This window comes from Homo sapiens, chromosome 9 (assembly GCF_000001405.40).
Source record: "Homo sapiens chromosome 9, GRCh38.p14 Primary Assembly".
NCBI lineage: Eukaryota > Metazoa > Chordata > Mammalia > Primates > Hominidae > Homo > Homo sapiens.
In genome coordinates, this window is record NC_000009.12 from 78234868 (window position 1) to 78249575 (window position 14708).

Below are 14708 nucleotides of genomic sequence, written 5' to 3' on the forward strand. Positions count from 1 at the left end.
TTTATGAATATACAAGCGTTTACTATATTAAGATTTGAGCATGTCGCACATAAAAATAATTGGTGACCATATCTCCGGAATTTTAGAGACGCCTGCATATGTGTGTTGGAAGTAAGTTGGAGTATCCGGAATGCAGTGGGTGGAACAGGAATGCAATAAACACAATGTCTAAGGCTCTACCGGAGGACTATCATTGCTCTAGCAATTGCATACCAATAGAAGGAGAGGTCAATTATCTGGATTCTTCCACTTAGCTTCCACTTAACTTCCCCGTTCCTCAGTTTCCCCTTTTGTAAAGTAGAATATAATAGTATATTCCTTGAGATGTTAGGAGAATGAAATGATTTCATACTTAAACATTGCTTAAAATAATCCCGAGGACATTATTTCAAATAAGTACTAGTTACAAGGGAGTTAGCCAACATCATCGTCAGTACAAAACAAACTGATTCACAGCAAACACAATAAAGTCCTGAATTCATGAAACACTCTTCAATTTGCCAGGAACCGTGTGAGATATGCAGAAACTACAGAAATTAAGGCTTATTTGTAGATATTAACACAGACATAAAAGATTTAATGACCGCAGTTCACGTTCAATCAGCCGTTCCCACATCCCTTGAGTGCAGTCTCTGTGCTGGCTGGACACTGCAAGCACAGACACATTCCTCAGATGTTTAGACTTTTTTTAAAAGTGCGTTGTTACATCCACATTTCACTTTTTATTTTCTTTCTTTTTTTGAGACGGAGTTTCGCTCTTGTCGCCCAGGCTGGAGTGCAATGGCAAGATCTCGGCTCACTGCAGCCTCCGCCTCCCGGGTTCTAGCGATTTTCCTTCCTCAGCTGGGATTACAGGCGAGTAGCTGGGATTACAGGCGCCCGCCACCATGCCCGGCTAATGTTTGTATTTTTAATTGAGACGGGGTTTCGCCATGTTGGCCAGGCTGGTCTCGAACTCCTGACCCCAGGTGATCCGCTCGCCCCCGCCTCACACAGTGCTGGGATTACAGGCGTGGGCCACCGCGCCCGACCACACATTTCACTTTTATTCGGATCGATCAGTAAACTCTTTCGCAAACCCTCAAACTCTCCCGACCACTATCTCAGGTAGCAGCGAACTCACCCGTCCTCAGGAGGCGGGACCTGCGTGCCGACGCACAGCGAGCACGTTGACGTCTTGGCGCACCGTTCCACGGCACCGCCCACCGGCTTGAATCCCGGCGCCTCAGAGGACTATGAGGCGGGCGCCAACTGCTTGGGCCGCAGGGCGGGAGGCAGCGCGGGAGTGGGGCGTTGAGGGGCCGGCCTAGCTTGGGGCTCTGGCCTTGCGTCTTCCGACCGAATCACCGCTCCTGAGCCCGGTGCGGGGCTGCCGCTATCGCCTGGCCGTGGGTGCCGGAGCGGCCGGGTTGCGACTCAGCGTTCTTGGGTGGGCGCGGGCGGCGTCTCCGCGGCGGGCATCCCCCGAGGCCGCCCTCGGGCCATGATCGACTCCGTGAAGCTGCGCCGCGACAGCGCGGCGGACTTCTTCTCCCACTACGAGTACCTGTGCGCGCTGCAGAACTCGGTGCCGCTGCCCGCCGTGCGCGCCTGTCTCCGGGAGGGCGTGCTGGATTTCAACGCCGACCGCCTCCGCGGGGTGGACTGGGCGCCTCTGCTGAGCACCCTCAAGATCAATAAAGACCTGCCCTTGGTCTCCATCAAGAGCTTCTTCCAGCCCTGGCTGGGGGACACAGGTTTGTAGTTCCCGCCTCCAGGGCCCCTCAGTCGGTGCGGCGAAGTGGGTTTTTAGGTGAGTGGTGTCCATTGTCGGGGTATGTGTGCAATAGAAGGGGTGTGCGGCCTGGACACTCACGAGCTAGGTGAGTGGCTTAAGGTCTCTAGGGCTTCAGTGTGCTCATCCGTAACATGGGCTTAATAACGAGACCCAGGTTATGTGCGCCTTCGCAAGGATTCCCTGCGCTGCTGATGCCTGCAGAGCTCTTAGCACAGTTTGGGACATCATTAAACATTTGACAGATGTTACCTATTTTATTGAATGACTTTGATTTGCCTGATAGAGAACTAAGCAGGTAGGAAATTAATACATGTCAGCCTTTGTCTTTTTTTTTTTTTTTTTTTTTTTTTTTTTGAGACACTGTTTCACTCTGTCGCCCAGGCTGGAATGCAGTGGCAAGATCTCGGCTCACTGCAACCTCCGCCTCCCGGGTTCAAGTGATTCTCCTGCCTCAACCTCCCGAGTAGCTGGGATTACAGGCGCGCGCCACCATGCCCGGCTAATTTTTGTATTTTTAGTAGAGATGGGGTTTCACCATGTTAGCCAGGCTGGTCTCGAACTCCTGACCTCAGGTGATCCGCCCGCTTCGGCCTTCCAAAGTGCTGGGATTACAGGCATGAGCCACCGCGCCCGGCCTGTCTTCATTTTTTAAGGTGTATATAAGAAGTTTGTAAAGTGCTTTACAAATACAAGCCATTTGTAAATGTATAGTGGTATAATTAGGGATCCAGACTCTCTGATTATTCGGAAAATATGTTAGGTCAACTATGATATATGACAAAATGCTGTTATTCCTTTGAGCACTTAGCATTTTCTACATAATGGAGGCAGCTTCCTATAGACGCTAGCTAGGTAACAGGAAGGAACAGTTTGTGCAAAAGTTTTGGAAATAGGAGAGAGTATGCAAGCTGAGTTACAGGACTGGAATTTAGGTTTGAGAAAGAGCAGAGAGAGTTGAGGCTGGAAACCTTGTGGGGGCCAAACAGGGAGGGTCCTCGTTTGTCCTGTCATAGAGTTGGATGTTTATCCTGAAGGTTTTGGGAAACCGCTGTAGGATGATGAGATGGAATTTCCGTAGGAGCTCAGTCTAGCCTCCATATGGAAGACAAATTAAAATTGGAAGGATGGTGAATTGTAATCTAATGGCCCAAACTAAGGTATAGAAAAGAAGGGCTGGGGCCGGGCACCGTGGCTTATGCCTGTAATCCCAGCACTTTGGGAGGCCAAGGCGGGGGGGTGTGGATCACCTGAGGTCAGGAGTTCGAGACCAGGCTCACCAACATGGTGAAACCCCATCTGTACTAAAAATACAAAAAAAAAAAAAAAAAAAATTAGCCGGGCGTGGTGGCGGGCACCTGTAATCCCAGCTACTTGGGAGGCTGAGGCACGAGAGTTGCTTGAACCCAGAAGGTGGAGGTCGCAGTGAGCTGAGATTGCACCGTTGCACTCCAGCCTGGGCAACAAGAGCAAAACTCTGTCTCAAAAAAAAAAAAAAAGAAGGGTAGGATTTCAGATATCTAAGAGAATGGATGGGCGTGGTGACTAGTTAGAAGAGGGGGGCAGCAAGTATGGGTGACAGTTTACAGCAGCGTCTGTAAGTGAAACACAGCAGCGTCTTTCCATGACACAGCCGAGTTAACTCGAATGAGATTGGGGGTGGGAGGAGGATCTCAGTTTGTCTTTAATGTTTTAAGAGGGGCCTGTGGGGCATCCAAATGTGTCTGCTAGGCAGATCTGGGCCCAAGATTTAGGCTTTGTGGGAGGACAGGTATTTGAAGGCATGGGAGGGACCTAGATTACCCACAAAGAAGATCCAGATAATTGTAGGTCTGAAAGGTGTTTTTTAAGTGGATATGGACGTGAACATGTTTATAAGCTGAGAGAAAGAGGGAGGGTGTGCGATCTGGGAGAGGAAATGATTATTGATGTATTTAAAAACAACCTGACCACTTGTCGTGTGCCCGGCCCTTTTCTAGGCTCTGGGGTTAGCACCATCTCTTCTGCAAGGACAGTTCAACACATCTGCTTCTGAAAATAAGTCAGATTATTCTCTACATCTCATTCAGGTGCAGGAACTGTTCTGTACCTCTGAATGGACTTTAGTTAACCAAAATAATATCAGGAACCAGGCCAGGTGCGGTGGCTCACACTGGTAATCCTAACACTTTGGGAGGCCAGGAGTTTGTGACTGGCCTGGGCAACATAGTGAGACTCCTGTCTCTACAAAAAGTAAAAAATATTAGCTGGGCTTGGTGGATCTCTTGAGCCCGGGAGGTTGAGGCTGCAGTGAGCCATGATTTTGCCACTGTACTCCAGCCTGGGTGACAGAGCAAGACCCTGTCCATGACCCTCCCCCTACAAAAAATAAAAAAACCAGGAACCAAAATAAATTAAAGATGGGAGGGACCTCAGAGTCAAGGCTAGCCTACTAGATCTTGCCTAATATTTTGCACTGAATGTAAGAAAAATGTATTACAGACCATTCTCGTCAGATATTCTTCACTGAACCTTCTTTATCTCTTGCATCTAGTGGGTCTAGGTTGTAGATTTTAACCTCCTACATATTGCTTGTCCATCCTTAATTACATTTTGCCTGGACTATTGCAGACGCTCCTAGCTAGTTTTGCTGCCGTTGAGCTTGGTTTTTCTCAGTTCATCTGCCTACTTTGGTTCAAGTGATCTTTCAAAAAGGAAAAGACATGCTTAAAGTGGCATGCCCACGCAGGACCAGTGTGTATTGGTTGCTTGTGTTCTGCACAGAGGCACTGAAATCTCAGCTGTGTTCTGTTAAGCCTCCTGGGGTTAGTTGGTCTTGAGGAAGGGGAGCTTTTTCTCATTTCCTTTATCTCTTTGATACTCCAACAGTGAGGCACATTTTTCTAACCTGCTAGGGGTATCCTTAATGTGTCAGTGGTAGCCCTGATCCTCATCACCTGTGAGGTAAAAGTGAACTCTCCTAGGCTTGCTTCTCCCTGCCTCTTTGTAAATTTCTGACTCTTCCGGCTACGGCTCTGGGCTTTAGTCGGATCCACCTGCAGTTTTCCAGTGCCCGGCAGGTGTCAGGCTTAGATGCCTTTGCTCTCGCTGCTCCCTCTGGTTAATGCATCACCCACTCTCACCCCATGTTGTCATTCTCATCTTTCTAGATTCAGCTTCAGGATTATCTTGAAGCCATCCTTTCAGTGCAACTTCTTTGCTTCCATAAGAACCTCTATGTACATAGTTTGGTATATCCCATGTGGCTTGAGTTTACATGTGTCTGTGCTTAAGAGGACTTTAAAGGACATGGCTCATTTCTATGTCTTAGCACAGAGCAGATGTTTTTGAATGATACATTGTATGATTGAAGTCACTAACTTTCTTTTATCTTTGTTTTAGGTTCTGACATGAATAAATTTTGCAGAAGTCGTGTTCCTGCGATAAGATACAAAGATGTGACCTTCCAGTTGTGTAAAGCTCTTAAAGGCTGTTTAAGTATATCAAGTGTGCTAAAGAACCTGGAGCTAAATGGACTAATTCTGAGAGAGAGGGATTTAACTATTCTAGCAAAGGTAAGCTTTGTCTCATTTGGCTTGTAGACATTTGATAGTTGCTTTTAGAGGAAAAAAAACCTCAATAACATTTTTAACTTTTCCCCCTCATTAAAGGGATTGAATAAATCGGCTTCTTTGGTGCACCTGTCTCTTGCAAATTGTCCAATTGGAGATGGAGGTTTAGAAAGTGAGTTTAAATCTCATTTAACTCTTGTCCTATCAGGCTGGTTTCATGTTTCCCTACATGCCATGTTAATTCCTGTCTGTACCTTTTTTCTTACTACTGCCTCATATGCTTGTTCAAACCTTGGTCCAGTCTCAAGTCTACCATGAAAGCTTGGCATGCTGAATGTAATCTGAACTAACTTTACTTAAGTTTGTGTTAAACCACAGACCACACAAATATATACCATCTGGTATTCTCTGTTTTTTGTGTTTGTTCATCTTTTAGAGTTTTTCTTCAAGAAATATTTATGGGAAGGAAATAGCAAAATGTAAAGAGGCCGGGCGTGGTGGCTCACGCCTGTGATCCCAGCAATTTGGGAGGCCGACGTGGGCGGATCATGAGGTCAGGAGATTGAGACTGTCCTGGCTAACATGGTGAAACCCCATCTCTACTAAAAAAATACAAAAAAACTCACCAGGCATGGTGGCGGGTGCCTATAGTCCCAGCCACTCAGGAGGCTGAGGCAGGAGAATGGTGTGAACCTGGGAGGCAGAGGTTGCAGTGAGCCAAGATCACACCACTGCACTCTAGCCTGGGCGATAGAGCAAGACTCCGTCTCAAAAAAAAAAAAATCATCATTACTTTAAATAATTAAAACATATATACAATCAATTTTAATGCACTGTGGTATGTTCCAAAATAGGAAATATAAGCAAAGTGCTGTATAGGAGCATATAAAAGGCTGACAGACTTGGGGGGAAAGGGTTGGGATCATGGAAATAGTCACAGAAGGTGACTGTTCGTTGGGATCCTGAAGTCTTGTGTTCGTTGTGTGAAATAGTGGTCTGGAGGGGTAAGGAAACCTGCATTTCAATTTGAGGGAGCAGAGAGTTAAAAGGCCTCTGTCTTCTATTGTTCTAGTACATTAGGTGCTCTAGTATAACACCTAATAAAATTCTGGGTTTATAGTTGACACTGAATTGTTGGTTAATAACAGATTGAGGTCTGCTCTTGGAAATGAAAATAGGAAGAGTTTTATTTTTTTTATGTTTTTCTTTCAGATGTCTCAAAAAGTATATAGAACTTTACTGTGGTCTGGAGTAAGGTTGCAATATTCAGTCTATTCAATTTTGGCATCTAAATAGAATTGAACTATTGCAATAAACTGGAGTAACTCTTTGTTACTGACTTATTTTAGAATGTACCAATCAGTTGCTTAGGTAGATTGTAAATAGTGATTTTAAGAATACAACTATAAAATAGAAAAGATATAAGAAGAGCAAATAAATCAAGACTGACTAGGTTGTATATGCTCTTCATCTTATTGTATGTGGTTTTTTTTTCCATTTTAGTTATTTGTCAAGGTATAAAGAGCTCTATCACTCTTAAGACAGTCAACTTCACAGGATGTAATCTGACATGGCAGGGAGCAGATCACATGGCCAAGATCTTAAAGGTAACTTTATGTTCCAACTTTCATGAAAATGTGTTATATGATTGCCACACGTTAATATTTTGATACAAGACAGCAGTTATTTTTGTCTTTTGATACATATGGGCATTGCAGTTTTAGTTTTGTTTAAAGAATGTGACCAATTTTCAGCCTGGGGTTCTACCATTTATTAAAGGTAGTATGCTTAATCTTAGAAATAGAAGACCTAAAATATAATAATTAGATTTTTCTGTAAATACAGTTTGTAAAACAGTAATTTTAAAGGTGCCTTAACAACTTTATAGTGGTTATTACTACTGTATTTAGGATAAAATTACATAATAATGTGACATGAAGCCTTTTTAGTAATTTGATGGTGTAGATCGGGGTAGTCAAACTATGGCCTGTGGACCAAATCTAGCCTATCACCTATTTTTGTAAATAAAGTTTTGAAACATAGTCATGCCCATTTGTTTACATATTAACTATTGCTACACCCTACACTAGGAGAGTTGAGTAGTTGCAAAAGAAACTATATGACCCACAAAGCTGAAAATGTTTATTTTGGGGCCTTTACAGCGTAAGCCCACTCTCCGTGGGATAGATAATGGTTACTCATGTGGATTCTGAAGCCAGATGGCCTAGGCTAAAACCCGAGCTCTCTCCCATTTAATAACTTGTGACCATGGGCAAATTAGTTAACCGCTCTGTTCCTCAGTTTTCTTATCCATAAAATGTGTATAATAAGAAAACCTACTGTGTCTGTCATTGTTAGGATTTAATGAACTAATGTGTATAAAATAGTGCCTGGCTATCTAAGTGTTTGCTGTTATTTCCTCTTATTGCTTTTATACAGTTATTATGAATAGCAAATGACACTGACAGTTTTCATTTGACGGAGTCATAGGAGCTTTGAATCTTTTGTTTCAGAATGTAATGAGATTTTTTTTTCTCTTAAAATCAGTGTTTCCTGTTACCGAAATTTACTTTATGGATAAAGAGAAGTGATTATGTCTGTAAGATAATACCTGTGGTTAAAACTCAAACCACCAATTTCCGAAGGCATATCAACCTTGCTTTGTATATTCTAGGCCTCTAAATTTGGTGTGCATACCCTAAGAAATATGTGAGATCCCTTGGGTTAGGAGAAGAAAATATTAACCTCTATATTTTTGTATCATTTAAAAAATACCTATTGTTTCTGTTTGATTTGTAATATACATAAAATATGTATATAGAAATTCCTGTATATAGTTTATTAATAAATAACTTACATGTTAAATGTTTACTTGTGGGATGTCCAGTCAAGTGTTTAGAGACCACTGGAGGACAGAATGATATGATTTAGAGGCTCAGCAATGATAGAATTTAGAACCAGTACCTTCACTTGGCATATAAAGAAAATAAAATTCTTAGAAGTTAACTAAGTTGTCAGTTTACATAAAGCAATCAGTAACAGGTCATTAGTGGTTAGGGTCACATAGCTAGTCAGTGACAGACTAGTATCTGGGTCACTGGACTCCTTACTCAAAATCTACTATTTAATCAGTCTGTCAGATTAACCCACCTGGCATATGTACCTGGTGTGTGTGTAAAGCTCTGATGTAATCAGCTGTACTTAGTTCCTTTTAGTGTTCCTATCTCTTTATCCAAGTGTATTAATTTCATCTTATTAAATCTTTGAAGTATCAGACCATGAGAAGGCATGAAGAAACCTGGGCTGAGAGTCTTCGCTATAGGAGACCTGATCTTGACTGTATGGCTGGCTTAAGACGTATCACACTGAATTGCAACACACTTATTGGTGACCTAGGTGCATGTGCTTTTGCAGACTCTCTCAGTGAGGATTTATGGCTGAGAGGTAAGTTAAATGAACTTGTAAGGTGGAAAATATTGAATTTTTTGATATTAAATATGCTTAACTCTTGGCACAGTAATGTTGTCCGAAGGTTTTTTAAAAAGCCTCTTTTTTCTAATAGGTTTTATTTTGTTTTTAAGCCTTTATAAAAGTTATATATATTCTTTATAGAAAATACCAAGTAACAAAAAAAAAAAAAGTACATATAATCTCAATGCCTAGAGATAAACTGTTCATTTTGGTGTATACACTTTCAGTATTGTTTTTTCCTGCAGATACATTTGTGTGCTTAGAGTTACAAGAACAGAACTATAGTGCACTTACCATTTTGTAACCCTGCTTTTTTTATTTAATGATGTATCATGTAGTACTCTATTATATTGAGGCATAATAGTTTAATTCCCTACTATTTGATATTTAGGCAGTTTGTGCTTTTCCCCTGTTATAAACAACTCTGTAGTAAACTCCTTATGTATACATCTCTGTGTCCATTGAAGTTACTTTTTTTTTTTTTTTTTTTTTTTGAGACAGGGTCTTTCTCTGTTGCCCAGGCTGGAGTGCAATGGTGTAATCATACCGCGCTGTAGCCTTAAACTCCTGGCTCAAGTATCCTCCCACTATACCCTCCGAGTAGCTGGCACTACAGGTGCACACCACCATGCCAGGCTAATTTTTGTGGAGACAGGGTCTTGCTGTGTTGCCCAGGCTAGTTTCAAACTCCTGGGCCCAAACAGTTCTCTTGCCTTGGCCTCCCAAAGTGCTGGGATTCCAGGCATGAGCCACTGTGCCCAGCCTGAAGTTACTCCTGTAGGATAAATTACTAAAGTTGAGTAACTCAGTATAATGTATTTCTTAAAGACTTTTGATGCATGTCACCAAATTGCCTTTCAGAAATGCTGTGCCATATTATAGTCTCATAAATGCTGGATTGTGTCTATTTTAAAACCTTAAACTTTACAAAAATGAGAACTCCCCTGCTTTTTCTTTTTTGATGCAAATGGGATTGGTCTCTGAATTTTACAGCTTTTTTCACTCAGTCTAGCATATCTTAAATCAGTAAGTTTACATTTACCATGTCATTTTTAGTGACTCTTCAGGGTTCCATTATGTTAATATGCAATAGTACACTTGGCTTATCCGTTCCTATTAGATATATAAGCTATTTCCAGTTTTTCATTGTTATAAACAGTACTTTGATACGTGTTGTTGCCCGTGTCTCTTATAATTTCCTTCTGGTAAATTCTTAGAAGGAGAGTTGCTGTGTTAACAGAGTCTGCACATTTTAAAGGTTTTTTTAAAATGTGACCTTCGCCAATCTGATAGAAGCATAATCACATTTAATTGTTTTAGTTTATATTCATTTGATTTACTAGTGAGATTTACTGGCTATTTTTATTAATTTGGCTAGGTGGATAATTACATCCTATGCTCATTCTTCTGCAGCAAGAGTTTGTAAAGGTTTTACCATATTCTATCAGATCCATATATCTGACTTATTTCTGTGTGTCTTGTGGTGTCTTAGTCAGTTAGGGCTTCATAGAATATTCTATATTATATATAGTATATATTATATAACTCCATTATAGAAGCATATAACAGAATTATATTCTGGGTGGCTTAAAGAGAAGACATTCATTTCTCACAGTTCTGGAGTCCGAGAAGCCCAAGATCCAGATGCCAGTAGATAGGTGTCAGGTGAGGGCATTCTCCCTAGCTTATGGAAGGCTTTTATATCCTTAAATGGTGGCGAGAGAGAACTCTAGTCTCTTTTTTTTCTTGTAAGGACACTAATCCCATGATGGCTCCACTCTCAAGACCTCAACTAAACCTAATTACCTCTCAAAGGCCCCAATTCCTAATACTACTACCCTGTTGTGGATTAGGGTTTCAATATACATTTTTGGGGAATACAGACATGTAGTCCATAAAATGAGATTCTGAAAGACTTCAGTTATTTTAATGTAATGGTATACACGTGCTTTTGCTCTGATGTAATCTTTTTTTATGCCTGTACTTTTGTGATAATCCTTTTGAGTTGAAATGAGTAGATTGTTCAGCCTCAGTATTACTAGTATTCATGAGCATTTGTTTAGTTCTTTGACCTTTTACTTGAGAGAGAGTTCTTGACCATTATTTTTTCATGATAGGTTTTTAGTATATAATCTCTATAATCTCTATTCACACATTCTTTGGATTCATTATTTCTATCTCCTTAGAGTTCTTTCTTTGTCATTTTTATTCTAAAACTAACAGTTTACATTTTTGTATTTTCTTTTCACTTTTTTAATGTAATTTTTTGAGAGTCACTTGGAATTTGAATTTGAATTTGATGATGAATCTAGTGCAATTTCTGAGCTCCACCCAGTTTTTGCCTGTGATGTTTACACTGCCACTAGCATCCTTGTTAATTATGAACAAATATTCATTCTGTGATGTTTTATGTAGAGTTATTTTTCAACTCTGTAATTGTAAAATATGTTGGGTAATTTATTGGTACTAAAGGGAGGGTAATCATGACACATCTATGAAGAGGGTTTCTTTTTTGTATTATGTGTGTGCATATGGTTTTCTATTTTTATTTTTTCAATACCCAAGATTAAAAACTGGCCATGAGTAGTCTTGGGCAGGAGTCTTCCAGGCATGAATAAGTGGGAGTTGTCTGTATGTTAAATCTGTATAGAATTGGCCGGGCGAGGTGGCTCACGCCTGTAATCCCAGCACTTTGGGAGGCCGAGGTGGGCAGATCACAAGGTCAGGAGATCCAGACCATCCTGGCTAACACGGTGAAACCCTGTCTCTACTAAAAATACAAAAAAATTAGCCATGCGTGGTGGCGGGCGCCTGTAGTCCCAGCTACTCAGGTGGCTGAGGCAGGAGAATGGCGTGAACCTGGGAGGCAGAGCTTGCAGTGAGCGGAGATAGTGCCACTGCACTCCAGCCTGGGTGACAGAGTGAGACTCCGTCTCAAAAAAACAAACAAACAAACAAAAAATCTGTATAGAATTAGCAAGTGACCCTTTGTCTTTCATCGAAAGCTCTTGACCTGCAACAGTGCGGCCTCACCAATGAAGGAGCAAAGGCTTTGCTAGAGGCCCTTGAAACCAATACAACTCTGGTCGTTCTGGATATAAGAAAAAATCCACTCATTGGTATGTCGCTACAATATTTTTTATTGACTAACAAATAGCAAAAGAAAAAGAATTTCTCATGTATTGACAGTTTTGAAAACTTAATGTGTTTCCTTCCCTAATCTTACACTTTTGTAATCTTGCACTTTCTTATGTTTTTAGTAGATAATTTACTGATGAAAAGAGTTGTACTTAAATTGCTCTTGGCTGCTACTCTGAATAGGAGTGAACCTAGATAATAAATCTGCTTCCACCAAGTGCATTATTTTCTTCTTGTGGAACTTCTGAATTCTTGGAAATAGTATTTCATTCATTTGTTGATTTGACAAGTAATTTTTGAATACTTCTATCTGCTAGATACTGGTTTAAGCACTAAACATACAGCAGTAAACCAGCTAGACAAATTCTTGGTCTCATAGAGCTTACATTCTAGTTGGGGAGTTATACGTAATGTAATTTAGATAGTAGGAAGTGCAAAAATACCGTAAGGTAAGAAGACAGATGGGGGCAGGTGGGACTATATTAGATAGGTTTTTTAGGGGACAGCTTCACTGAAAAAGGGACATTTGAACAGAGACCTGATTAGGAGGGGAACAAGCCGTGGAAGATGCAGATAAAGTACCTTCCAGGATGAGGAAGCAATGAATATGTAGTTACATAGGTGGCAGGGTGGATGGAGTATTTAAGGAAAAGCAAGAAGGCCAATATGGTTGGGGCACTGAGTGATGAAGAGACTGGTATGCTACAAAGTCAGACAACTAGCCAGGGGCCTGATCTTGTAAGGTTTGAAGGTCACGGTAAGGACTTAGATAATTCTAAATGAGCTGAAAACCATGGGAGGATTTTGAGCTGGTAAGGGTTATATTCCAAGTAGTAATTCAATCAGATGACTTGGTGTGGAGAATACACTTGTAGGGGGCTATAAAAGGGAAAGAGGGAGGCCAGTTAGGAGACTCACACTGGTTCAAGTTAGAGATGGCTATGGCTTCACTTAGGGTGGAAGGTTGGAGGTGGTAAAAAGTGGTTGAAACAAGGTGTAGCTAACAAGACTTGTGGGGTATAAAGGAAATAGTAATTTTTTTAAAAAGTCCTAGGTGATTTTGCATACAACTGGGTGGTACTGTTTATAGAGAAAAGGAGGCTGTGGAGAAGAGCAGCTTTGGGGGCGCATCATGACTTTGATTTGGGTATATTAGGTGCCTTTTAAGCATCTAAGTATCTGGACAGTGTTTAGGCTTTTGATTTCCTATTTAGAGGTATCTAAAGCTACTTTAGTTCCAAAGTGTTTACATTTGATCTTTGCTGCTGCCAAAATAGTAGCCATCAGGGACAATATGTGTGTAGGAATACTTTGTTTTTGAGGAAGAAGTTAGAATACTCAAAGGGGGAAAAGGTATTTAATTACATTATGTGGAATTCATATTCAATTTCATGGGAAAAAGCAATAATTGGTTGGCTTTTGTTTTTAAATGGGAATAGCCACTCATTGGGAAATAATTACTATAATTTCAATTTTTATTTTACTTTAGATCATTCTATGATGAAAGCAGTTATCAAAAAAGTCCTCCAGAATGGAAGGAGTGCCAAATCAGAGGTATATCATGTTTTATTTCTCCAGAAAGAATTCTTATTTAATTGCTTTTCTTCTGGGATCTCACTGTACTGCCCAGCCTGGCCTCAAACTTCTGAGCTCCAGTGATCTTCCCCCTTCCCAGCTTCCTAGGTAGCTAGGACTGTAGGTATATATCGTTGTGCCCAGCTTTTCGTCTGTTTTTAATAAAATGAAACTATTAAGGCACTTTTCTGCCATCTTAAATTTACAGTCAAATCAAATGTCTTTTCTGTTTTTGTAAATACCGTATGATTCTTTAATTTTGGGTCCCAGAACTGCTGATTGCAAACCTTTTATTAACATAGAGTATCTTAACAATTTCCATTTAAGATGTAGCCCTCATAAATGATCTGTAACTGAAATATAGTGTTTATTCTGTCTCTTTTAGTACCAGTGGATAACTTCTCCATCAGTGAAGGAACCATCCAAAACTGCTAAACAGAAAAGGAGAACTATAATTCTAGGAAGTGGTCACAAAGGAAAAGCTACTATTAGAATTGGTAACCTTTTCTGTCTTGGCTTTTTAATGCTACTAGTGTTCTAGTGTGTTAAAATTAAAATCTCTTCTCATTGTATGATATTGACAGTAACAACCAATATTGACTCCGTGCATATTATGAGGTCTGTAATTGTTCTGATAAGATTATGAGAATTTATGGAATGTAGAAATAGTAAATGAATCATTAGGAAAGGGATGCTAGTGCTTCCATTTAAAAAATTACCCTTATTTGTTTTTCATACAATATTCATCATTTTGGATATGTTTTCTGATTCATGATTACTTTTGATACTTTGCAATTGAAATTTGGGATGCACTTTGATGACAGTTTTAGCAGTGCTTTTGTATGATTTTGTTGTTAATGAAGAATTATCCTTTCATACGATAGAAAACAAAATTTCTTCCCAGTTCCATTTTTTTTCCCTTGTTTCCTCCTCCTTCCTTGCAAATTCTTACCCAAAGTTGTTGAATTAGGTAGCACCTTGCTTCTTTCAATGATGAAATAACCTTAAAATATATGTAATCCTTATAAAACAATACTGCAGGTAAGTTTATTACCCAGAGATGGAACATTTTAGACAAACATTCCCTAAATGTTTGCTATTTATGGTTTATTTAATCTGCCAAATAATAGTCTAGAATTTTGAAATTGTCTATAATTTTGTGACCAAGAATAATGAAAAAAGACTTTATAAACTGTTTA

General features: G+C 40.3%; 1 protein-coding gene across 9 annotated transcripts in view, besides 2 other annotated features; it reads left to right on the forward strand.

Annotated features, from left to right (window-relative positions):
• Positions 937–1606: an enhancer, noted in NCBI's record as "H3K27ac hESC enhancer chr9:80850720-80851389 (GRCh37/hg19 assembly coordinates)". NCBI's record gives its function as "activates a minimal SCP1, AML or CMV promoter by ChIP-STARR-seq in naive H9 embryonic stem cells {active_cell/tissue: H9 hESC(naive)}" and the evidence as "EXISTENCE:reporter gene assay evidence [ECO:0000049][PMID:30033119]".
• CEP78 (centrosomal protein 78) overlaps positions 1208–14708 on the forward strand; it is a 43616-nt gene continuing 30115 nt past the window's right edge. For all 9 annotated transcript variants that reach the window (NM_001349839.2, NM_001349840.2, NM_001330691.3 and 6 more), the window contains exons 1-8: positions 1208–1736; positions 5156–5328; positions 5425–5497; positions 6829–6932; positions 8595–8769; positions 11802–11915; positions 13424–13488; positions 13895–14006. In NM_001349839.2, the coding sequence (NP_001336768.1) occupies positions 1484–1736; positions 5156–5328; positions 5425–5497; positions 6829–6932; positions 8595–8769; positions 11802–11915; positions 13424–13488; positions 13895–14006 (1069 nt within the window). In that variant the 5' untranslated portion in view covers positions 1208–1483. The remainder of the gene's footprint in view (positions 1737–5155; positions 5329–5424; positions 5498–6828; positions 6933–8594; positions 8770–11801; positions 11916–13423; positions 13489–13894; positions 14007–14708) is intronic.
• Positions 1232–1601: a silencer, noted in NCBI's record as "silent region_19966". NCBI's record gives its function as "represses an Ori minimal core promoter by ATAC-STARR-seq in GM12878 lymphoblastoid cells {active_cell/tissue: GM12878}" and the evidence as "EXISTENCE:reporter gene assay evidence [ECO:0000049][PMID:35858748]".